Source organism: Homo sapiens, chromosome 17, assembly GCF_000001405.40.
Source record: "Homo sapiens chromosome 17, GRCh38.p14 Primary Assembly".
Classification (NCBI taxonomy): domain Eukaryota; kingdom Metazoa; phylum Chordata; class Mammalia; order Primates; family Hominidae; genus Homo; species Homo sapiens.
In genome coordinates this window covers 70,131,952-70,158,637 of record NC_000017.11, presented here as the reverse complement: position 1 = coordinate 70,158,637, position 26,686 = coordinate 70,131,952, and the positions used below count along the sequence as shown (strand labels likewise).

Here is a 26,686-nt window from a genome sequence, read left to right as displayed (position 1 = left end):
CCTGCAGCCCCTTTCAAACAACTTAGAAACTGGAGATCTCTCATACAAAAGGTTTTACCCCTAATTCCACTGAAGACCCCCTCGAACCAAGCAAAAATTTTCTCACAGGAGAATTTAAGAGAGTCTATGGATTCAGGCTCGATTTCATAATTTCCTCTCTGTACAAAAACCAGGGTATTTATTTCTCTTACGTAATTTCCAGGGAATCAGTTCCATGACCTGACTTGTATTCTGTTGGTCTACTGAGGGGACCTTACCGTCAAACAGTCACCCTTGGTGAGAACATACCCAAGGGCTGATATATGACTGCAAAGGAACTTAACAATTCCTGGAAGGAAAAGGGTTAAGAGCCAGTAAAAACAGCATAAATTTACACATGACCTAGTGTGATTACACTTTTATTCTCTTCCTTGGAAGAAACAACAACAATGACAACCTCCATAACTAATGCTTCTGGTCTAAAAAACCTTCTCCCTAAAGGACATGTTTTCACCCACTACCAATGATCTCAACAAATTTCTGGATAGAAAGGACCTATAGACAGAGAGATGTACTTGCCGGTGAGTTTTCTTTCCAAAGGATCTAAAAAGTCCATTCCAGGTCGTGGGAAAATCATCTCAACGATTGGGCTGAAGGGAGCAGCCTTGTGTGATTGGTTTGTGATGGTTCGATTCAAGCTGACAAGTTCTAGAATTATAATTGTTTTGTCCCAATCTTAACTTGCTAAGAAGGGAGATGGCTTAAATAGCCAGAGGCCTTGACTCCAGAAAGAACTGTGAGTAGATAAAAGCTACTGCAGTGGCCTCAGTTAAAAAAAAAAAAAAAAAAAGCTGGCCCTGATACCATTGCCTTCCATGAGGCAGAGTGCTCTGCCTTTTTCTTTGCAAAATATAGGAAGAGGATTGTCTTAAGCAAATGAAAAGTAGTTGGGGACAAATAAAGGACACACATTTGTTTCCTTTTATAGGTGAGATCAAATGCACCAAAGACTAAACGAAGCCAGTGCCTCAGTCCTCTCTGTCCTAGCCCTGCAATAGAGTCATCCCTAGGTGAATAAGCTAGTTACAAACTGAGCTCACAGTATAGGGTTCTCTGGGGCCAGCAGAAAGCGGGCGGAGAAGTGGGTTGCAACCTCTCCCTCCTGCTCATATCTCTTAACAACCCAACAATCTCCTTTCCTCTGTCTTTCCTTTTCCTCTGCTAGGATTTTTTCATCAACTGAAGAACAGGGGCATCTGCTGCCACAGAGAGGAGAAGTTGCTCTTTTGCCTTTGGCCATGGATGTATCAGGGTGGCTGTGTATTCGCCTGGAGAGCCCACAGATGCCACTGACACAGCAGCTGCTCTGACAATAGCCCATCAATGGTACGCTGTTCTCTTTCTCCCCTCTCCTCCTCCTTCCTGCTATCCACACACAAATTCTTCAAGGAAACCCTCTACTATGCTTCTTGACAACAGGGCTGAAATATCTGGAGTAGCAGATACCTTAGAAGGGCCATCTTGGAGACTTTTGAATGCAATTGATGGTATTAGAAGTTCTGATGAAGAACTAACTTAAATGGAAAAGGTAGACATCCAGAGAAAAGTAGACATTTAGAAATAGCATAATTGGAAGATTTTTATTTTAAAAATCCATTCTTAAAGCCGGGCACGGTGGCTCACGCCTGCAATCCCAGCACTTTGGGAGGCTGAGACGGGCGGATCACGAGGTCAGGAGATCGAGACCATCCTGACTAACACGGTGAAACCCCGCCTCTACTAAAAATACAAAAAATTAGCCGGGCTTGGTGGCGGGCGCCTGTAGTCCCAGCAACTCGGGAGGCTGAGGCAGGAGAATGGCGTGAACCCGGGAGGCGGAGCTTGCAGTGAGCCAAGATCGCACCACTGCACTCCAGCCCAGAGGATAGAGCAAGACTCCGTCTCAAAAAATAAATAAATAAATAAATAATAATAATCCATTCTTTAAAAAGACAGCCTCAATTCTTCTGTGTGGAGTGACTTTCCTTACACCATATATATGGGCTTTTCTAAAATGTATCTGTCTCCTTTTATTCATGAAAAACAGTACGAGGAAGAGAATTATTGACGGAAAATTATCTGGGTCAGGAAAACGACCCAGAACCGAGATTTATGCTTTACGAGAGAACATCCTTATATTACTAGACCTGTAGAAAAGAAAACTCTGCACTTTTCTGATATTTTTAAGTGAGGGCACCACATGTTCCCTTCTGGAAAGAATAACAAGGGTGTGTAAACTGTGTCCATAGGCCAAATCAAGCTCACAACTTATACATACAGCTTGTGAACTAAGAATGTTTTTACATTTTTACGGTAGCAAAAAATCAAGAGAGGAATACTGTTTTGTGACATTTAAACGTTTTATGAAATTCAAATATGTGTATTCATGAATAAAGTTTTATTGGGGCACAGCTATGTTCATTCAGTTACAGATTGTCTCTGCTTCCCAGCTGCAACAGCAGAGTTGAGTGGGTGACATAGGGGCTGTATGTGGGCCCAAACAATCTAAAACACTCACTATCTGATCCTTTATTTAAAAAAAAAGTTTGCTGATTGCTGACCTAGAGTAATGCTATGAAACATCAGGCTGAATTGAGTAAAAAGGATGTGAGAACGGTCTCTCATTTTGATTCTTGGAGGCTGAGTAAATTTGACTAAGTTACTTAAATGTTGGTGCTTCCTCATTAAAGTGGAGATAAAATTCAGGGCCAGGTGCAGTGGCTCACGCCTGTAATCCCAGCACTTTGGGAGGCCAAGGCAGGTGGATCACGAGGTCAGGAGTTCAAGACCAGCCTGGCCAAGATGGTGAAACCCCATCTCTACTAAAAATACAAAAATTAGCTGGGTGTGGTATAGGGCACCTGTAATCCCAGCTAGTCGGGAGGCTGAGGCAGAGAATTGCTTGAACCTGGGAGGCAGAGTTTGCGGTGAGCTGAGATCACACCACTGCACTCCAGCTTGGGCGACAGAGCAAGACTCCGTCTCAAAAAAAAAAAAAGAAAAAATTTAGATAGTTTTTTTTAGGATGAACTAAATGATGATTGTAAATATGTACACAAACAATAAATGTGTCTGACTACGGTGACTCATGCCTGTAATCTCAGCACTTTGGGAGGCCAAGGTGGAAGGATCACTCGAGCCCACGAGTTCGAGGCCAGCCTGGGCAACATACAGCAACCCCATCTCTACAAAAAATAGAAAAATTAGCCAGGTTTGGTGGCACATACCTGTAGTCCCAGCTACTCTAGAGGATGAGGCAGGCGGATCACTTGAACCTGGAAGGTCAAGGCCGCAGTGAGCTGTGATCATGCCAGCCAGGGTGACAGACTGAGACCCTGTCTCAAAAGCAAAACAAAACACAACGAAAACCTAATACATGTTATTATTCTTTTTTTTTTTTTTTTTTTTTTTTTTTTGAGACAGAGTCTTGCTCTGTCACCCAGGCTGGAGTGCAGTGGCACAATCTCGGCTCACTGCAAGCTCCGCCTCCCGGGTTCACGCCATTCTCCTGCCTCAGCCTCCCGAGTAGCTGGGACTACAGGCGCCTGCCACCATGCCTGGCTAATTTTTTGTATTTTTAGTAGAGGCGGGGTTTCACCATGTTAGCCATGATGGTCTCAATCTCCTGACCTCGTGATCCACCCACCTTGGCCTCCCAAAGTGCTGGGATTACAGGTGTGAGCCACCGTGCCCGGCCAATACATGTTATTTTCTGTTCAAACTGATTGTAGTTGACATGCTTTGATCAAGTACCCTTACATATTAAGTGGCTTCCAAATGGGTTCATAAAATAGAATTAGAGATATTATTAATATCAGTCAATAAAATCAATGAAGGTGAATGATTCCATGAAGATAAATTTTTGATCTATTTTTCGACACTGTATATTTTCTTGATTTTTGCAAATCTATCACTAGACTGTTGTAAGCCTGCTGTTCCATAGAGGGATAGAGGAGTCTGTGAAGTTTTCAGGCAAATGTTTAACTTTGGGTTGTTTCAACTAAACACATCATGAATTTGATCTCATTGGAGATCATTAAATACTGCATTTAAGAACTCAAAACACCTTGAATATGATCTCATTAGTGATCATTAAATGTTGCACTTAAGAGTACTTAGTGCAAAAGCAATAATTGAAAAAATTGGATTATTTTGCAATAAAAAATTATATCCTGAAAAGTGTTTAAGAACTTCACTTAATTTTGAATGCATATTTTTTTTTTTTTTTTTTTTTTTTTTGAGACGGAGTCTCGCTCTGTCGCCCAGGCTGGAGTGCAGTGGCGCGATCTCGGCTCACTGCAAGCTCCGCCTCCCGGGTTCACGCCATTCTCCTGCCTCAGCCTCCCGAGTAGCTGGGACTACAGGCGCCCGCCACTACGCCCGGCTAATTTTTTGTATTTTTAGTAGAGACGGGGTTTCACCGTGTTAGCCAGGATGGTCTCGATCTCCTGACCTCGTGATCCGCCCGCCTCGGCCTCCCAAAGTGCTGGGATTACAGGCGTGAGCCACCGCGAATGCATATTGTACTATTGTTTGATTTTATTTTTTGATTAAAAATTATATCTGTTTATATCAATGTCTATATTTTTATCTTTTGCTATGTTTGACCTCAGGGCCAGAATTAGGATGAGGTAAGTAAGGCACTACTCTCCTCAGGTATAAAATTTAAGAGGCACCAAAAAGAAAAAAAAAAAAAAACCCACCAGTAATCAAGATAAGTAATACTGTAATGCAATATTTTTTAAATAAAACATGATGCAAAATAACTTACAATAAGCAAAATAGATCATGTGTATGTGTGTATATAGATTAGTTGGAGTTGTCTACAATAGAAAAATTCAAAATAACAATATATTAACCAAATAGACATATTTTTCTCTCATGAAAAAACATTTAGAGATGGGTATTCCATGGCTGATGGGGGCCCCATGGCATTTTGTGAAGGTCAGGCTCCCATGTCTTTGCTCCAGTATTATACACACACACACACAGGCACACACATGTGTATATATAGTTTAACAAGTGACCTAGTTGATGTGATTACAATTTGTTTTTATTTTCTTAAGTTTGTTTTCTATTTTCTCTAAAAATTTGTTATTTCATAATAAGGAACAAAACCTGATACGCTCTATTACTTTACTGATACAAAAGAGATATGATTCCATTTTCATTACCTCTTATGTTTGTTTTTCTTATTAAGACCATGATGCAATTTTGTTCTTTTGTTTAGATGGCTACAAAGAATACTGGGTGAATGCTCTTTCGGGACATGCGGAAGTCATATTTCTCTACTCATTAGGAGAAGAAAATATTTTATCTGTCTAGAAACAACTAAATCATTCATATAATATTTTGATCTTTAGCTATTTAATGAGTGAAAGCAGAAACACTTCTAAACCAACAAAATGCACTAGTGGGAGAGGCTCGGGAAAATTCCCTTGCTGGATTTAATAAGGAAAAATAAAAAGTAGAATGCATATTTTCACCATAATTCATTTTGCAGCTTTTACCACCATGCCTCATAGAAAGCAATTCTTGGTAAACTTTCTCTAGGAACTTAACTACAAAGTCATAAATGACTTGTTCTTACTAGCTATTTCTAAAAATTAATAGAAGTTCATTTATTTCTCCCTGAGCCCCTTTAGACCTACCTTTAAGCCTAATTGAATCTTATTCTGTCAGAGTCAAGTTGTCAGTTTATTTTAATATCAAAAGCTCAGTATTGAACAGGGCTTTTAAAACTTCTGCTCATTTGAATATTTTCTTTAGAAGCAAGAGGAAAAAGCACATCCCATTATTAACTCTCCTGCCCTAGGTTTGTCATTGCACTGTTAATAATATGAAATGCTAAACCCACAGACAGCCCCTGAAAATAAGTGAAAAGCTTCCTGAAAATATTAGTTCTCAGTGAGATCATGGCTGATGGGTTTGTTGACCTGACATTGATTTGTTGTAAAAGTTTTCATAACAGTTGCATAATGGGTGTGCTTCCATAGAGGACAATTAGCCAATCAAATCTGGTGGCAGATGTGGGTAAAAATTTCAGAACAGCTTTGAGGAATCAATTAAAGTAAAACACAACAGAGGGGGAAAAATCAAATATGAAGATGAATGGGATTAAAAAATAATACATGATTGCATTTCATGAGAAATTCTAGGAAGAAAATTTATCAAACATTAAAGATAAATAAAACCGACCCATAAGTTTTGGTGAAATCTTGATTTTCAGAATCTATTCCAATGAAATAGAAACAGTTATGCTAATTACCTCAAACAAAATGGGATTCTTCTGAATCCTTTATATTTTAGGACTAAAGATTTTTATTTAAAAAAAGATTTAGTGGCCAGGCATGGTAGCTCATACCTGTATTCACAGCACTTTGGGAGGCTGAGACAGGTGGATCACTTGAACCCAGGAGTTTGAGAACAACCTGAACCATGCAGTGAGATCTCATCTTTACTAAAAATAATTTTAAAAATGTAGCGAGGTTTGATGGCATGTTCCTGTAGTATTAGCTACTTAAGAGGCTGAGGCAGGAGGATTGCTTGAGCCTGGGAGATCAAGGCTGCAGTGAACAGTGATCATGCCACTGCAGTCCAGCCTTGGCAACACAACGCGATCCCATCTCAAAAATAAAATAAAATAAAATAAAATATAAAATAAAAAGGCATTTAGTGATTATTGAGGTTAAATACTTATCAAAACTCCATGGACAAGTTAATTCATTTCTCTTATCCTGATTTTATTCTCCAAGCAAAAGAGGGAGTTGAACAAGACTTTCCTTAAGGTTCCCTTGTTACTTTTCTCTGTGATCTTTTCGGTACAACTAAAGTGGCAGAAATTTTACCTTATGTCATTTGGCCATCTTAATAATTTGATCTACTAGAAATATGATTGTTAAAATCAATTTTAAGCACTTCTGCATGAATATAAGTCCCCTGGGAGTTATACAATGTGAATGATTATGATACAAGCACAGTTAAATAACAGTTATTAACTTAATTCTCCCTGACCTGGTGTTTTTAGTCATATAACAATGGTCCCCAACATTTTGGCACCAGGGACTGGTTTCATGGAAGACCATTTTTCCACGGACACGAGAGGGGCAGTTGTGGGTGATGGTTTCAGGATGATTCAAGCACATTACACCTATCCCTAAATTCTCATAAGGAACACGTAACCTAGATCCCTTGCCTGCACAGTTCACAATGGGGTTTACACTCCTACGAGAATCAAATGCTGCCCCGATCTGACAGGAAGTGGAGCTCAGGTGGTAATATTCGCTCACCTGCCACTCACATTCTGCTTTGTGGCCCAGTTCGTAACAGGCCACAGGCCATCGACCTGTACTGGGGGTTGGGGATCCCTGTCCTATAACATTCAACATGACATCATTATTTCTTCTGTTTGTTTTTTACGTAGTGACTTTAATCTGATATCTCTTAGGATCCACCCAAAGATGCTGTTACTATTGTTAGTATCATTATAGTTTTCAGTAGAGTATGCCAAACTAAAGACAATTACTTGCTTTCTTCATGGCCAGTAACTGCATATGAATTTAAAAACCGTGTTTCTATCTTTTCAATACAATGTTCTTAACATAGATATGGGTTTCCTTCATACAGGCTCCTGGAAAAACCTAGTAGACTGGCAGCTTTCATTGCAAATAACCAGGAAATAAGAAGATAGTGCATTTTATATTTACAAGAGTGTTTCCTCTGTAAGTATTTGTAAACAAGCATACCAACAAGTTTTTGAGAGCCTCTCTCTTGCTTATACGCTATGATAGCTAATAAAAATCAATGATTTACTGTAGCCACCTGATAAACATCAGCTTTACTGAAAACTAAATATCCCTCATTCACATATTGTATCAAACATCCCTCATTCACATATAGCAATTGAGTTTATGGCAGTCACAAAAAAGTATATTAAGGTAAAGATTTGTTTCCATTGTAAATGCCTTTTTTTCAATACTTTAAAAATATATTGAACACTGTTCATTGGGACAGTAGCTACAATGCATGCTCTAGCATACACCCGCACTCCCCTTTATGAATACTTCATTTGTTCACTAAAAAGCTATTGTCAGACTGGAATCCATTCCATCCCTTTCTCTCATTCTTACTTTTCGTGAAAAATGAACATCTTTATTCTTTGTGTTTTGATTGATTGGAAATAGCCCTATTAGATTTTAGTATTACTTAACTACATGTCCATAATAGTGAATTTTGAAAGCATGAAAAGTAAATTTTAAAATCGAATTTTAGTTCTAAAGGGATATCAAAGAATATATCCCAAAGGAAGGCGGCACTAAATCCATTAAGGAGGCCTGGCATGCTAGCTGTAATCCCAGCACTTTGGGAGACCTGTAATCCCAGCATTTTGGGAGGCCAAGGTAGGAGGATCGCTTGAGCTCATAAATTTGACAATGTAGGGAGACCTTGTCTCTACTTAAAAAAAAAAAAAAAAGAAAGAAAAATTGCTTTTACTCTCACTGCCAAAAGTGGGGGACTGGCTTTAAGGGAAAGAACCAGTTTTGACATTGTACACGAGTGTGTAAGAAAAAACACAGCAAATCCATGGATGGAAAAAGTAAGTAAAATTATTATGAAGATGAACAAATATTTGACTGAAATCTTCATTTCTCAATTGATTGCTATTTAGCTCCAGCATCAACCCACATAGCCAGGTGGCTGCTGTTCTAGGACAATTTTAGTTTAAACAGCTCTTGGTTCTCTAGCTCATGTATTCAGCACTTAGTACCTTCTATTATGTCTTAATATGATATACCAGAAAGGTTGTGAAACAGTACACAGATCCATGGGCTAGGATAAGTGTTTTTGATAGAGTCCCAACCACTTTACCTATTTCCCTTCAACAGTTGTGGTAATATGTGACCAAATAGAAAAAAGGATGAAGAGCTGGCACATTGCAGAGACAGTGGATCCTGCTCTTTGTTATACTTAAGCAGCAAGAGGTTCTTCTTGACCTGTAATGGTGATCTAGCCACGTATTCCCAGATCCTCACAATTAATATTTCAATGGCAGATAAAATTAGTCATCTCTTTTATTGAATTGTGAGTGCATGTGTCATTCACAAAAATGCAACATGTTATATTGGAAAGCTGGATTTTTTTCAATGGATCAGTTCTTGGAAACTAAAGTTTAAAACAAATGTTACAGATGAAGAAAAACATACAGCCATGCTCAGTCTTGTGTTACTTTAAAAGTACAATCTTGGCCGGTGGCTCATACCTGTAGTCCCAGCACTTTGGGAGGCTGAGGCAGGCAGATCACTTGAGCTCAGAAGATCAAGACCAGTCTGGGCAACATAGTGCACCCTGTCTCTGCAAAAAATACAAAAATTAGCTAGGCATAGTGATGCATGCCTGCAGTCCTAGCACTTTGGGAGGCTGAGGTCGGTGGATCGCTTGAGCTCAGGAGTTAGAGACCGGTCTGGGCAACATGGCAAAACACTGTCTCTAAAAAAAAGTATAAAGATCAGCTGGGCATGGTGGCACACACCTGTAGTCCCAGCTATTTGGGAGGCTGAGGTGAGAGATCACTTGAACCTGGGAGGTCGAGGCTGCAGTGAGCCAAGATTACACCACTGCACTCTACCCTGGGTGACAGGGTGATGTCCTGTTTCAATTAAAAAAAAATTAAAAATACAATCCTATTATATTGCCTGACAATCCTGTTTAATGGTCCTAGTCTATTTAATCTCCTAGTCTCTGACATGAGTATTTGAACCTTTCCTGCCTGTATTCAAACCTCTAACGATATCCTGCACTCTCATCTGATTACCTTGCTTCTCATTACACTGAAAAAAAATGGAAGCAGAGTGAACAACTTCAACCTTCAGTTCTCTCTCACCCAACATGAAATCCACCTCTGCGTCTCTACCTGTGCATGCTTTTCCCTTTCTGTGTCTGTAGTTTAGATGAGCTCTCACCATTCCCTCTACTTGTAGACGAGATCCCTTCTCATGTATTCAAGGACTCTGCATCTTTAATTATCCTTTCTCTCCTACATTATCTATTTTTTCCTTAGAGAGGGATCATTCCCATCTGTTCATAAACATACTGAACTACCTCCCACTAACAAAAGAAAGCAAAATACAAAGAAAGAAAGAAAAAAGAAAGCTTCTAATGACCCTGTATCTCCCTCCAGCTATTACTTCATTTGTCTTCCCTCCTTAGCATCAAGACTTTTCAAACATTTTCCCTACTTTCTCATCTCTCATTCTCTATTGAACCCTCTTCAGTTAAGCATTTACCCCAGACATTCTTTCCAAAGTATTTGATGCTTGGTTCTGTCACTGACAATCCATCACCTCTCTCTTCCTTGGATCACATTCTTTATTTGGCTTTTAAGTAACCATTCTTCTCTGCCTTTTCCCTTATGTCTTGCGATCATTTGAATATTGTCCCCTCCAAATCTTATGTTGACATTTGATCACCAATGTTGGTGGCGGGGCCTAATGCCTGGTATTTGGGTGATGGGCGCAGAGTCCTCATGAATAAAATAATGCCCTTCTATTTACCTGTTCATGAGGAATCGGCCCCACGGGGAGTGAGTTCTCACTAAGATCCCATGAGAGCTGGTTGTTAAAAAGAGCCCGGCACCTCCTTCTTGCTCTTTTGCTTTCTCTCTCACCATAGGATCTCTTCATGTGCCAAGTCTCTTCCACCTTCTGCTATGAGTGGAAACAACCTGAGGTCCTCACCAAATGCAGATGGCAGCACTATGCTTCTTGTACAGCCTGCAAAACCGTGAGCCAAATGAACCTCTTTTCTTTATTAATTGCGTAGCCTCAGGTATTTCTTTATAGCAGCACTAAATAAACTAAGACATGCCTCAACCTCACAGTGTTATAGCTAATTTTTGTATTTTTTACAAAATTATAAGACATATATAGTTATTATAAGAAATATATAGTTATATGTCTTATAGCTCTATCTCACAACCTAATTCCCTATCTCCATTTGATTCCTGGGAGGTGTTATTCAAGCCTATGTCATTATCTATCCATTATCTATCTATCTATCTATCTATCTATCTATCTATCTATCTATCATCTACCTATCTACCTACCTACCTATACAGATGGTTTCTAAATGTGCATCTTATGGATCTTTCTTCCACAACTCTAAATTCACATATACAACCTTCTACTCTTTGTCCCCATTTGAGTATAAAATGGGTATCTGACACATAACCTGGCCAAAACTGAATCTTCATTTTTACTGCCACCCCCCCCCAGATTCTCAAATTCTTCTTCGGGGCCTTTGCACTGGTTTAGAATTCTGTTTCTTCAGGTATCCACATGGCTTGCTTTCTCTATTCTGGTTATCTGGGTAAACATTACTCAGAGGCCTCCATTGGCTACCCTACTTAAAATGGCAACTTATCTTTGCACGGGTACGTTTCTTTATTCTTTATTTCATTCCCCTTAATGGTACCTGACATTAAATTGCAGTCATACATTGCTGAGCAATGGTGACGTGTTGTCAGAAATGCATCATTAGGTGATTTTTGTCATTGTGAGAACCTCATAGAGTGTACTTGCTCAAAACTATTAATAGATGATATAGCCTACTATATACTCTGTGATATGGCCTGTTGCTTCTAGGCTACAAACCTATACAGCATGTTACTCTACTGAATACTGTAGGAGTTTGCAACACAATGGCAAGTATTTGTGCATCTCGATACAGAAAAAAAAACATTAAAAATATGGTTTTATAACCTTATGGGACTACCATTGTATGTGTGGTCCATTGATAATTAAACATCATTAGGCTTAGCAGGAGGAAATATATTTGTTTCTTTAATTTCTGTCTCTCCCACTATGTATATATAAATATATATGTATATTTGTATTTTATATTATATATATTGTATATATATTATATATACAATATATATATATTTATATATATTCAAGACAGAGTCTCACTCTGTTGCCCTGGCTGGAGTGCAGTGGCGCTATCTCAGCTCATTGCAACCTCCGCCTCTCAGGTTCGAGCGATTCTCCTGCCTCAGCTTCCCGAGTAGCTGGGATTACAGGCGTGTACCACCAAGCCAAGCTAATTTTCTTTGTACTTTTTAGTAGAGATGGAGTTTCACCATGTTGGCCAGGCTGGTCTCAAACTCCTGCCTTCAGGTGATCTACCCACCTTGGCCTCCCAAAGTGCTGGGATTACAGGCGTGAGCCACCGCGCCTAGCCACTCTCTCACTGTATTTTAAGTTTCATGAGGGAAGTATCTTTTTTTCTATTTAGTTCATTATTACCTTCAAAATGTCTACACATGATCTGACACATGGTATATATGAATGCATGAATTAATGAATTTTATAAAAATCGAGTACTTGTTGAAAATTGTTATGTCACTGGCTGCATTAATTTAAGAGAGAAAGAAATATAAAAGGAAGGAAGACAAAGAAAGAAAAAAGGAAGAAAGGAATAAAGAAGGAAGGAAAGAAAGAAGAGAAAGAGAAAAGAAAAGACAGACTACTAAAAAAGGCATGATTTACATTGGGAATTATTATTCATTGCAATGAACTGTGTGTAAGGATAGAGAAGATATGAATTCCTGTATCAGATCTACTAAATAATTATATGATTATAAGAAAGACACCTTCTTCTTTTGAGCGATTCATTGATAAAGTGGTTAGAAGAGGTACATGGGAGATTCATTTTTAAAATTCTGTGAGCTACATCTGTCACTTATTATACGTATAAATAAGGCAGTATTAGAGCAACTTATGATGGTACAGATTGGAATACTAAAAATGTATATATTTCACAGACAACAAAAATAAAAATAAACACCATATATTGGCCATTTACTCTGTGCTAGATTTTGTCTTAAGGGCTTTTACAATATGTCATGTTTCATTTAATTGTGAGAACAATTTTACGAGGTAAGTACTTTAACCCCTATTTAACAAGCAACTGAGGCTTAGATGCCTGAGGAGTTTCTCTAAGGCCACACCATTAGTAATCCATGGGGCTAGGATTCAAATCTAGATTACCTGACCACCTAGATTTCAATCTAAATTAAATGAGAGAGTGAAACAGACACAGAAAGAGACAGAGAAAGAGAGACTAATATGTAGAGAGTAAGATAAGTAGAAAAAAATCAGAGAAAAGAGAGAAATAGATACATATAAGGTCAAGAAACAAAGAAAACGGAGACAAAGAGGCAGAGAGATGGATGGAGATACTTAAAACCAATACTAGTACGGCAGTATATCTGTGAGAATGCATTATCTTATATACTACTTCTTTCTCTCTCTCTCTCTCTCTCTCCCCCTCCTCCACCCCCATTCTACACACACACACCGCAACATACACCCACAGACACTACTTATAATGACAGAATTATTGAGACTTTCTTGTTTTTAATATTTTTATCTTTAATTAAAAAGAAAAACTACAGCCTTAATCAAATAAGCACTGATGGTATAAGATGGTGGCCATTAAATGTCTGAATTTGTTACAAAATATATTATTTAGTTTCTAGCAGACAGTACTTTATGGGAAGGTGGCTAATCCTACCTTTCTCAGTTCATCACATCTGGATACTGACATAAGCAGGATTTAGAAAACAGAAAAATCCTTTAAACAAATATCACGATTCTTTGAAATGCATATAAATTATGAGATTATAATATACATATTTATAAAGCAAATATTCACTCATGCCATTAAAATCATGTTTATTAAGCTATACCTATACATGCATTAGCGTGATTATTTTAACACAATATTGGTAATCGATACCTACATTTTGGCTGCCTTCCCTTGCAATAAATAGAGTGTTGAATTATTTATTAGATGCTCAACGGATGTCATCCAGAGTTTCATGTCTATATTTGTAGATTGAGAATGGCAGTCTAAAGAAACTACAATTTTATCTTCTAAATATGTAATCCATGTTGAGGTAGCTGGGGGAAATCTAGCACATGGAATCTATACTTAGAACAATGTTATTTGTTGCTTTTCAGTGCCTGCTATTTTCTGACTTGAATGGTGTCCATTATATTTTGTTTATCGGTATTATTGACACCGAGCATTCCAAGTTATTTTTCCAAATATCATTCCATAGCAGTCGGGGATAAATTAAAACTTAATGGATTTACTTCATGGAAAAAACATGTGTTCTCTTGTGACCACAAGGTGGCACAATAGTGACCAAAAATACTCAGCCTCCTAATAGAATTGCAATTACCAGAGGCATTTACATAATTGTTATTATTAATCTTGTTATCACTACAATTATGACATTTCATAATTAAATATCACCCCAACCTTTGGGGAAAAGGCGAAGTGCTTTTGTTTAGTTTTTGTCTTCTTTCTGCCTGCAACATCATTAATATTTTTTTTTCCTCCAATCTCCAGCCCCACCAGGACAAGCAGGTCCACAGAGCTATCATTTTATGTATTATTCAAAGGTTTAAAACAAACAGTAATAACTTAAATAATAAGTTACACTTTTGAAGAAGGATAAACACAAAGTTATATTGTTCAATGGATCTAATGTTGCTCTCCATTCAGTCTTAGTTATTTCATGACCATGCTAACATTTATTTATAATATAAGAATAAAAATACCATTCCAGAAACTTCGGCTTACACTACAGGTTCAAATTTGTCCATTGAAAGTTGCTGTTTTTCTGCATTTCATGCCAGGCACAATATTGGGAAAAGAACCCAGAATAGCCCAGTGTGCCCTGCATTTATTTCATGATGGCTTTGTATTGAGAACAGGCCATCTCTCATCATGTTCAGGAGACTGGGAGACCACTGATGCCTGGGAATCTAGGTGTTGCAATGATGGTGAGCTACACTCATTGGAAAGGTATACAAGAGAAACCACCTTTTCCCCAAGTTAAAATGAAATACAGGCTAGCCAGGTACAGTTTGCCATTCGTCAGACAAATCACCCACCTGAAGATGCACTTCTTTTTATTTTTTATTTATTTATTTATTTGAGACAGAGACTCTCACTGTCACCCAGGCTGGAGTGCTGTGGCGCCATCTCGGCTCACTGCAAGCTCTACCTCCCCGGTTCACCCCACTCTCCTGCCTCAGCCTCCCCAGTAGCTGGGACTACAGGCGCCCGCCACCATGCCTGGCTAATTTTTTGTATTTTTAGTAGAGACGGGGTTTCACCATGTTAGCCAGGATGGTCTCGATCTCCTGACCTCGTGATCTGCCCTCCTAGGCCTCCCAGAGTGCTGGGATTACAGGCGTGAGCCACTGCGCCCGGCCCTGATGCACTCCTTTATAATAACATGAAGGGTTAGTAGCATCCCATAAATGAGCATTTTCCCCCAACTTCCCTAGATTAAGAATTCTGGCATTTTACAAAATAACATGTATGATGATGCCTTTTATTAGTTTATGTCATGAGCGTAAGGTGTCCCCATTAGAATTTTAGTGTTCTACTATGGTTATTACATTTTTCATTATGCTACTTGCTTCCTGCCATTACAATTGTAAAAGCAATATTTTATCTTTTTTGAAATCAAATTTTGTGGTGTTTTTAAATGGCTTCAATTTTCCTGTTTAAAATAGACCCAATTTTAGAAAAGGGCAGTAATAGCAGAACTGAAAACTAAATTCAACAAATATAACTTTAACTGAATTGTCAAATTATTATCATGGGATGTATAAAATGTACATCACAGTGAGTTGTACATTAAAGAAAGATTTTTAAAATTGCACAAAGTATTGTAAAATTGGAACTTTCCAGCTGAATTCAGATGGTACAGTACTTATGAGAATAGAAAATACTGCACTAAAATACATATGTATCTAACCCTGTTCAGTCTGCTATAACAGAATGCCATAAACTGGATGGCTTATCAACAACAGAAATTTAATTCTTAGAGTTCTGGAGACTTGACAGTCCAAGATCAAGGCAGATTCATTGTCTGGTGAGAGTCTACTTTCTGGGTCAGAGGCAGCACCTTCTCACTGTGTTTCCACAGGGTAGAAGGGGTGAGCGGTCTCACACAGGCCTCTTCTAAAAGGGCACTAATTTTTCTTATGAGGCCTCCACCCCCATAAGCTAATCACCTTCCAAAGGCCACACCTCTGGATACCATGGCCTTGGGGGCTTAGGATTTCAACATGGGAATTTGGAGGGGACAGAAACATTTAGACCATAGCAATGTGGCAATGAAATAAAAGCATTGTAAGCCAACAACAAAAAAATCAGGGCTACAAGTAGAGCGAGGAAAAATCAGCACATTTTGTGGCTGTAAAGAACCGTAAAGTAATTTAAAGAACATCCATGTCATCAATGTTCAGAAATAGTGGACCAAGGAGGTTAACTCCCCCAAAACCCACAGCTCATTAATGGCAGCCCTGAGGTGGAAATCAATTTCCCTTGGGAGCAGGAGGAGACTATGATCTCATACATCAACCACATATCAAGATAAAAACATAAGACGTTTTTTAAAATTGTGATAATCAGTAGAGCATTACTATCCTACCGCTAATAATGCTTTTGCTTTCAAATTCCTCTGAAATACCTTGCTATTACTAATATATATGGAAGAAAACAGAGAATATTCATTTACTGAATAACTCCTATCTGCCAGATAGTTAGATGTGTGTCTGTCTATACATACATATATATACATGTATATAAGCATACATACACACATATATATATAGGTATGTTCATATATATGTGTTTGTGTGTAAAGGTATCCTAACATACTCTGCAATTAGCCCATACTATAGTTTGAATGTTTGTTCCTTGTAAAACTCATGTAGAAATTGAATTGCCATTGTAACAGTATTAAGAGGTGAAACCTTTAAGAGGTGAAGAGGCCATGGAGGCTCTGCCTTCATGAGTGGACTAACGCCTTTATCACAGGAGTGGATTCGTTGTAAAAGGGAGACTTTGTCACCTTTCCTCTCTCTCCTTTGCCCTTTCTTGTCTTTCCAACTTCTACCATGGGATGACACAACTAGGAGGCTGTCCCTCAATCTTAGACTTCCCAGCCTCCAGAACCGTGAGCCAATAAATTTCTGTTCATTACAAGTTAATTGGTTGGTGGTATTTTGTTATAAGCAGCACAACATGGACTGAGAGAGCCCACAGGTAAATATGATTAGCTCCACTTACACTCATGAAGAAACTAAGGCTCAATGACAATTAGAAAATTACCAAAGTTCATACAGCTGCCAAGGGGCACACCTTTAAAAAAGGAATTTGAATCCACTTCTGCCTGATTTAGCCATGATCTTACTACAAAAGTATGTCATATTTTAGAGAAAAAGATGAATTGTTCTTCTCCCATCTCAAATGTGCTCAACACACCTGTTCTTTCCCAACATGAGGTGTGGTTCTGTCTTGTGAGCAGTTTTTAGTTCTGTGGGGTCCACTGGCACAGCATAGGCCAGTGAGGTTTTTCGAGTTCAATGAGCAGCAGCTTAGTTGAGTAGTGATATGTTATTTTGGCATGATAAGCCTACTCCTCTCAGGACCCCTCCAATTTAACAGGAACATGTTGAACAGTTTGAAAATAACACATGTTATTATGATATGAAGCAGTTAAGTACTTTTGGAAATGGCTTTAATTTAATGCCCAGTAAGTAGATAATGCAGGAGGATTATCCTGTATTTTATGCAGTTTGATTTTTCCTCTGTTTGTTGCTATTCACTAAGCTTTAGGTGTATCTGAGTAGAGTAGTATTTTATTTTCAAAACTGTATTTTACTGAATGCTCATGCCTCCCACAATGGAAAGGATGTATGATATAAATCATCCAAAGTAATTTTGGTCAGATAGTACGGAAACAATTTACACTTGGATTGGGAATAATTTATATTTCTTCTACTAAAATCGTTGCGTGATTTCTCCTTTTTAATTTTTTGTTTGTTTTTTTGATTAGGTCAATGTTAAAAGTTAAGGAATGTAAATTATGAAACACCAAAAGAGATGAGTTTGCTGCTGGCAGTATTAATTGCCTACACTGTATTAGCATTCATTATGTGCTAGGCATTCTTCTAAGGACCTTATAAATATTTTCTCACTAACCCTTTTAACAATTGTAAGGTGGGTACTGTTATTTTCTTTACTTCACAGTTGAGAAAACTTGGGCCCAGAGAGGTTAAGTAAATTGCCCAAAGTCACACAGTAAGAAAGTAGTAGAACTAGGCTGGGCATGGTGGCTCACGCCTGTAATCCCAGCACTTTGGGAGGCTGAGGCAGGTGGATCACCTGAGGTCAGGAGTTCGAGACCACCCTGGCCAACATGGCAAAACTCCATGTCTACAAAATAAAAAAAAATTAGCTGAGTGTGGTGGCGCACGCTTGTAATCCCAGCTACTTTTAATCCCAGCTACTTTGGAGGCTGAAGTGGTAGAATTGCTTGAACCTGGGAGGTGGAGGTTGCAGTGAGCCAAGATCATGCCACTGCACTCCAGACTGGGTGACAGAGTGAGACTCCATCTCAAAATAATAATAATAATAATAATTAATTTTTTAAAAAAGAAAGAAGAAGAACTAGAATTCAAACTTAAGGCATTTGATTCTTAATTCTGCACCCTTAAATTTGTAGCTTAATACAGAAAGGAAATCTATAGCTAAGGAAACTGAGAATTGGAGACAGCAGCTCAGTTGCTCCAGGTGGCACAGTTAATAAGTGGCTGTATCCAGACCAAATCTGTGTGATTCTCTCAGGTTGGGCTGTTTTCTTCATAGCACTTGTTTCAAGAAGGGAGCACTTCCATTTAATGATAAAAACAAAAACAACAACAAAAAAAAACCCTGTTGCTCCCAAAAAAAACAAAACCAAAAAAAACCCAAAAAAACCTGTTGCTCCTTGTGTTTGCTTATGCTTTAAGGCCGGCCCTGCCAAAAGACTAAACATTTCTGCTTCCAAGGTAAAAGGTTTGGTGGCAATAAATCAGTGTACATAGGTGTGCCTCACTGTACATTAGCATTTCCCTGAAAAGGTGTGAGCTTTTTTTTTTTTATTCAATCGTTGTTTGTGCACATTTTGAAGAAGTTTATCTTCCTTTATCATGACTCTTACCAGCTGCCTCCCACATTTCTTTTTTTTTACCTTTGTTTTCCCAGCTTCTCCAAATACTTTTTTTTTTTTTCCTTTTGAGACAGAGTCTCACCCAGGCCGGAGTGCAGCGGCATGGTCTCGGCTCACTGCAGCCTCCGCTTCCCGGGTTCCAGCGATTCTCCTGCCTTAGCCTCCCAGGTGGCTGGAATTACAGGTGCGTGCCACCACGTCCAGCTAATTTTGTATTTTTTAGTAGAGACAGGGTTTCACCACGTTGGCCAGGCTGGTCTCAAACTCCTGACCTCAGGTCATCCACCCGCCTCAGCCTCCCAAAGTGCTAGGATTACAGGCTGAGCCACCGTGCCCGGCCACTTCTTTAAATACTTAATGATCAATAGCACTTCTAGAAAATACTAGCTTGCTATTTAACAAAGGGTCTCGAAATGATCATTTGCGCTATTTACTGATTAAAAAATAGCAATACTTCAACTTTGGGCAGCATCAGGTCTGCTTATTGCCCCAGGTTGGCCATTGGTAATTGTGTTTTCTTCTTCCGTCCCTCCATGTCTGTCACTCTTTAGGCAGATAACTCCCGAGTTGGAGGTTTCCTCCTACATAAAAAGGGATCTGATGTCCTCCTGATATCCTAAAAATCTTTGGTTCTGGAATTGGCGGCTAGCAGAGGCTAGCTCTGTCCTTAACCCGGCCCCTATGACTAGCCTCCCTTCCCCAGGCCAACTAGTGTCAGAAAGAATCAACCAGCAGCACAATAAATAATTGATCTTCAACATGTGCTTCTAATTCAAATAAAGGGCATTTAACCACAGTGAGTATCGCATGTGACTGAAGTATTTTATGTGGAAAGTTGAAGATTTCTGATAACTTGCTGTAAAGAAGTTTTCACAGTGACTAAATCTCCAGGGGCCCTTTCTGTCTCAAGTTCAGGTTACTTAGACAGTGATTAAAGACCTTTCATTGGCCCCTGTGGTAAATGATAGCATAGAGGAAAAAAAAAAAAAAAACAAAAACCAGCATTCTTTGGCTATGTAATTTAGCAAGACTTAATCTATTTGTTTGAGTTTTCATCCATCAGGCTTGCTGAAATACTTTAAATAATTAACCTGTTTCTCTGCAGCCTGAAGCGTCCCCAGAGTTTCCACTCCAGGCCTGAGATGAGTGATTACCCAGCACAGATTGTCTTATTTATTTGGAAGACTCTCCAGCTCAGTCCAGCTGCTTTTTCTTGGGACAGCAGACAGACCCTGGACATGGTATCCTTTTACGTTACAATATTTACAAAGTAGAATAAATCAATGAGACCCAACAGGAAAAGGCCATAGTTTATTTTATTCATTCTATTTTTGTTTTTTCTACCATCCCTGCTAGGTGCTCAGCAACTCAATCTATTGAATTTCAAAACATGTAGAGGTGTCGACATAAGTCTCAAAACTCTGCACAGAGAATCCCAAACCACAAGCTTGGACATTTCCAAGGAAAGAAGCACAGGGTGGCAGGATGAGGCAAGAGGCTGCTTACTCCAAGCCAAATCTCATGACCCAACCGCATAGTCATAAGAGGAGTGCGTTCAGTTGCTTTAGGAAACCAAGAGCAGTGAAAGAAAACACTTGGGAATTTACTGGTAGATAAGGTTTTTCTGATTGAAGAAAAGGTACAAAGTAATGCAGACCAATGATGGTTTCTGGGCAGCATTATGATTATGTCTTTTTAGGAAAATGCCCCTTCTAGGGGACCTCACTTGCTGTCTGCCCACAGATTTATCTGGACTGAATCTCGGTTACTAGTTTTTGCTTTCAAAGACCTCCTATCTAGGGGAACATTTGAAAGGAATTTACCAAGTGCTTCCCTGCTGCATAATCTGTGTGTTCTGTGTTAACACTAACTTGCATTTTGCATGTGGAGCCAGAAGCTCTCTTCTCGGGAGCCTGGGTCATACTGCTCCTTTAAAAATGAAAGTGAGAGAGAGAGAGAGGCCACGCTGATTTTAGAATTGAGTCAGGGCTTTGTGATTTATAGAGTACGCAGGGTGAATAGGCGTGGTTTCTAGATATCCACAGGCAAGTCTTACCTTAAAAGACACAGGACTTTGCACACGCCTTACAGAACATTCAGAACAGAAGAATCAAGGCTTGTAACTGATGAGACTAATAGATAGAATATATTAAACTGAGTAGAATCTGGTGCCTAAAAATTTACATAAAAGTGGCCCAGAGAATCCACTCAGCACATGTCCTGGCCCACTCAGAAATGATGAAATACAAATATTTAAAGAAAAATCTGGATTCCTTTGTGTGTATTAAAAATCCTCTCAAATATTCTAAATGGATGAAGTTTGGTCTTGGTGAGGGATAGAGGGTCTGAGACAGTATTAGCAGTTTTATTTTTTGCCCAAGTTGTACAGTGCCTGCTTTATCCAGGTTTCTGTGGATTTTATGTTGGGGGGAAGAAAGAAGCAAAAGAGCAGTGGGCCTGGTTAATCCTTTTATCAAGGTCACTCCACCACCAGCATCTCAGAGGGATTTCCAGGCCAAAAGCAATCCTTTGTGTGTGTGTCTTACGATAGTGGCATGTCCTCAACTCCTTTGAAAGTATGAGGTCAGGAGTTCGAGACCAGCCTGGCCAACATGGTGAAACGCTGTCTCTACTAAAAATACAAAAATTAGCTGGGTGTGGTGCAGGCCTGTAATCCCAGCTACTGGGGAGGCTGAGGCAGGACAATGGCTTGAACCTAGGAGGCAGAGGTTGCAGTGAGCTGAGATCATGACACTGCACTCTAGCCTGGGCAACAGAGCAAGACTGTCTCAAAAAAAAAAAAAAAAGAAAGAAAGAAAGAAAAAAGCAAGAAAGAAAGCTAGCTGTTTCCACAGTGATCAACTCCATCAACTGTCATGGACAAGTACAAGTTGGACCTAAGCTGTGCATCGTTTTTTTTTTTTTTAAACCAGGCTTGTTTCCTGGATAATTTCCCTTAGATATATTGCTGTGTCAATTAGAAATCATATTTATTTTCACTTATGAAAAAGACGTCTGGAGATGTGCAATCTAGGGCTGCAGTCTTTCTTACCTTTCTATTTTCCCTTGTAGGGGGTGTCCTTGATTTGCATTCTTACAAGGTGGCTTCAAGAGCATAAGCTACCAAGTTAGAGGTCCAGATGGAGAGAAAGGTGAGCAGGGAGAGGAACAGGGCATGAGCCAGCCAAGTCAGCTTAAAAGCTTTCATAAAAGCCGCACCCATAGATTCCTGCTAACATCTTATGTGCCAGAACTATGCCAGTTAACCCTACCCTCCAGCAACCTGCATCGGGACTGGAAATACAGCTGTATTTTTTTTTTTTATAAACCCGAACACATTGTTTTCCAATTAGGAATTTGTTAGGGAAAAGAAGATGATGGGAGAGTCGATGAAATGGAAATTTAAAAAATCCACCTTACTATGTTATTGTGGGGATTAAATCCATGCATCAATCACTTGATAATACTCACTAATCTGGTGGCACATGAAAATAATATTTTCTTCTCTCTCCTTAGTCTTACTCACTTCTCCAGGGCCCCCTTCAGAAACTATAGCACATGGTAGAGCAATACCTTGATGCCACAATTCATTTTAAATCTATTTAACTTCATTGAATAATTTCATTTTGGGGGAAAAAGTGGATGGCATAAGAAAAAATATTCAACCAACTTCTCGTTATTGGCAGGGCATTTGAAACTAGAATTGCCATTTTACATAGAACCTGCTTGTGATACTTACAGAAGCAACTAATTTTTACTTCAGATATACCTGTTGTACAAGCTGTTAAAAAACCCATAAAAATGCTTTACAATGCTGCCTATGTTCTCTTTCTATGAAGCAGCATTCTTATTTTTGGTGCACTGTACCCAATTCTGACCACATCAGCAAAGAGAACTTATACCACTGAAAATATAGGTATATGCACACAGTTTTTGCATTATTTTAAGATCTTTATTATTAAGTAACTCACTGGGGTTGTCAAAGTATGTTATAAAATTACACAGATAATTAGAGATATATGTTACATAGAAATGCTGATTTTACACTCTCTTCTGAGTACAAGCATTTGATTACAGAGGCTCATAGCACAACAAAATGTATTTCACGGGACACTGATGCCCCTATTCTGATATTGACAAGGCAAACATCAGCGGTAGCAGAGTCAACAAAGCAAAGCAAGATGAAATGAAACTAGATGTAGGTAAAACAAGCTAAAAATATTTTTAAGTGTTTTTGTTTATTGTCATGGTGGCTGTTTTCTACTTACAAGATTGCAGTACTCTAATTTAGCCAAGTAATTGCTGCTGTAAAATCCAAATCTACAGAGCGCACAATTTTTTAAATGGAGTGTGCATTCCTCAAGCAAGACTAAAAACAATCTTACTTGGGTCTCTAATATTAAGCTTCAGAACAGTTTTGCAACTTTTGACCTGAACAAATCTCTTATCCATAAAACAAGAGGAATAAAAGATTGCATACGTGCATTTAAAAAGTAACTTTATTACTCCCAGGTCAAAAAAAAAAAAAAAAGGGAAAAGAAGGAGAAAGGGAAGGATGAGGGGGAGGAGGGAAGAAAGGAAGGAAGAACAAAAAAAGAAAAAAGAAAAGAAAAGAAACAGAAAGGCACTCTATCTACCTATACCTATATATTTTACTTGTATTTCTAATCTTGGACTATGTAATTACTTCATTCACTTGTGTGTTTTAATTTTCATGGAGAGAGAAGAGAAAGAAAGATTTTCCAGAAAAAGCAAAAACTGTGTGTGTGTGTGTCTGGGTGTGTATTTAAATAACATAAACAAATAAAAACAGTGCCACATACTTATTGCCAGTGCAGCAACAATGTAAAACAAAAACAAAACACAAATAATTCTGAATGTTCCTAATATCTCTTTGATTTATAAAGTTTAAAGTGACTCTTTACTCAGTGGATGTGGGCTTAAAGTAATCATGATTAACATTTTAACATGAAAGTAGAGTATACAACTTTATCTCATGTTCTAAAACTTAAGAAATTTCATTGTACTCAGATTATCCACTTACTGTGCATTCAAATCGCTTTAATTGAATTCTATCTCACAAAATCCTTCATTTAAATGGTTGTTCCAAGTTTAATAAAAGAGTTTCTTGCAATCCACAACTCGAGTCATTTGTATCTTGTACAGTAACCAAGACAAGAAGCATACATAACTGCTTCTGGGCACAAATAAATATCTCCCTCCCCACCCTCCCCCCAAAAAGGTTCTATCCTTTCTGTAGCAGCCAAAGTTGCAATCTTTCGGGACCAGCAAGCTAGCAACGGTTTCTCTCCAAGGGTCTGAGAATGTTTATCGCTGCTAACCATCCCCTCACCTCATCTGTATGATCCTGTCCCTTGGTCATGTCCTCGAAGAAGGTGGGACGTGAACATAGAAAGTCCCCTCCTCAGAGAACCTAGCAAGGTCGTGGTTGCCTTGTTTCTGGTCTCCATTTGTTGGAGTCTCCCAGGAACGTTAAGAGAGAAATGCTGCTTTAAATACTGTTAACTTTTCTTCTGCCTCATCGGTTAGAGAAAAAATTGCTTCTAACTCTCACTGATCACTACCTGGGCAAGTAGCAGTGGAATTGGTGGCATGGACAATTTCTTACAGCCACTCGCTATGCTCGCTGAAACCAAGACGGTCCAAGTGGCAAACCTAGTGACTTGAACTGGTGAGCTGATTTCACAGTTACATTTCTCAACGTTACAGCTTACTGAATGCATCTTTTGCATATCTTGGTTAGATATGATACTTTTTATGGTAAATCTTCATTGTATTATCAATGTTGACATGTTTAAAAATGTATTATTTATGCTGTCTTACTTGTCTATTTTTATTTTTATTTATTCCAGCCTCCTTCCTGCCTTCATTCCCCGTTTTTGAATACTACACCTCCAACTGAAGATACAAGCATGTAAGATAATAAAAAAGATAAATTTTAATCAATTAGGCTTAATAGCATTCTTAATACAAAATTGGCGAACAAGAAAAATTTTAATAACTGAGAACTATGGAATTTTTAGATTATCTTTTACCAAGTTTAACTTACTCTACTTACCCAGCATCATCATAAAACATAGCCATAACACTTTCAAAAAAGCCACGTTTACAACGACTTGATTGGCTGAAAGATAAAATGATTCAGTGGTAGCCCTCATAATTGCAATTTAGGACTACATTTGGGATTCTACAGAGATTCTGTTTAAAGTCAGGAGAGCTTTCTGATAAGGTGTTTCCCTATATTCATGTGTGGCGGAAGTGGTGGTCTCCTCAGGGTTTTCACAGCTGCTGACAATGGCAACTGCACTAAATGACCTTCGTCTCGCCTTGGTGTCCGACGTGCAGGATTCTCGAACTGGTGGTGCTTTTTCTATGTGGAGCTGCTGGTCTTTCCAGTCCAATTGCTTGGCACTGCAAAAGGGGGCATATACTTCCACACTTCCTTCAAACTGTAAGCAGTTCACTTTGTAATACTTCCTCTTAACTTCCAAGACATCATTAAACCTATGGCCCCAGAGAATTTCTCGGGGAACATAGGAGCTTCTAGATTGGTGAGATGTTCCAGTGGAATCACCAGTATAGATAAATGTCACCAAAATCTCAAAGTTATCTTTGGCTACTGCTTTGCGGTCAAGGGCATACAGAGGGCTCTCATGGTCAATTTCATGGACAATAGTTACCGGGGTGACCAGGATGATTTGGTCGTTGACTAATTTGAGGTCTTTAAATGCCATCGTCATCCTCCCTTCACTGTCTTCTGTATAGCGGAGAAGTTGGGCTCTAACTGTTCCTTCTACCACGTGGTTTGGCCGAAAATCACCAATGCGCCACATGAGGCAAAGCTTCCCATCTCTCATACCTATAAGTGCAAAGTAGCTGAAACGAATGGTTTGGGCTCTCTTTCGAGCAGTTGCCATTTTGGCCAAGGCAGCTCCAATGATAAAGGTATTTATGATGCAACTTAAGATGGACTGGAGGATCACCATGAGCACGGCCACAGAACATTCTTCAGTAACACAGCGATAACCATATCCTATGGTGGTTTGGGTCTCTAGGGAGAACAAAAAGGCCCCTGTGAAAGAATGGACGTTGTCAACACAAGGTGTGATGTCTGGATCATTTAATAGATCGCCATGATGAAAGGCTATGAGCCAAAAGACAGAGCCAAATATCAACCACGAGAGAATATAAGATAAAGAAAATATCACAAACATATGGCGCCACTTGGTGTCCACAAGAGTGGTGAAGATGTCAACCACATAGCTTCCCCATTCTCCAAAAATGTGCTTGAAGTAGACATTACAGCTGCCATCTTTGTGAAGTAATCGTCTTCTTGCTCTTCTCTTCTCAGCTATAATGTGCTCTGGCGGGTAGCCTGGGTATTTTGCGTCCGCATTGATAATATGATAGCTGCTGCCGTAATAGCTCATTCTTTGCTGTGCCCTTAGGGATCCAGGTGAGTTTTGTAGTAGTAAGAATTCTAGACTTGTTGCTATTTCTTGGTTTGGGTTTTCAGTTAGAACCTAAAAAACAACAACAACAAAAACACACTTTTTAGCTTTCAAT

General features: G+C 38.9%; 1 protein-coding gene and 1 long non-coding RNA gene across 24 annotated transcripts in view; one reads left to right on the top strand and one right to left on the bottom strand.

Annotated features, from left to right (window-relative positions):
• The first annotated feature begins 392 nt into the window (after positions 1–392).
• On the top strand, positions 393–20,401 carry LOC105371882 (uncharacterized). Its single transcript, XR_934953.3, has 4 exons — positions 393–560; positions 1,205–1,365; positions 7,645–7,739; positions 20,205–20,401. It is a non-coding gene; the product is annotated as an uncharacterized LOC105371882 (long non-coding RNA).
• A 2,628-nt stretch (positions 20,402–23,029) lies between these two features.
• The window catches only part of KCNJ16 (potassium inwardly rectifying channel subfamily J member 16), a 60,384-nt gene continuing 56,727 nt past the window's right edge, over positions 23,030–26,686 (bottom strand). For all 23 annotated transcript variants that reach the window (XM_017024609.2, XM_047435953.1, XM_047435952.1 and 20 more), the window contains one exon: positions 23,030–26,643. In XM_017024609.2, coding sequence (XP_016880098.1) covers positions 25,294–26,643 — 1,350 coding nt within the window. In that variant the 3' untranslated portion in view covers positions 23,030–25,293. The remainder of the gene's footprint in view (positions 26,644–26,686) is intronic.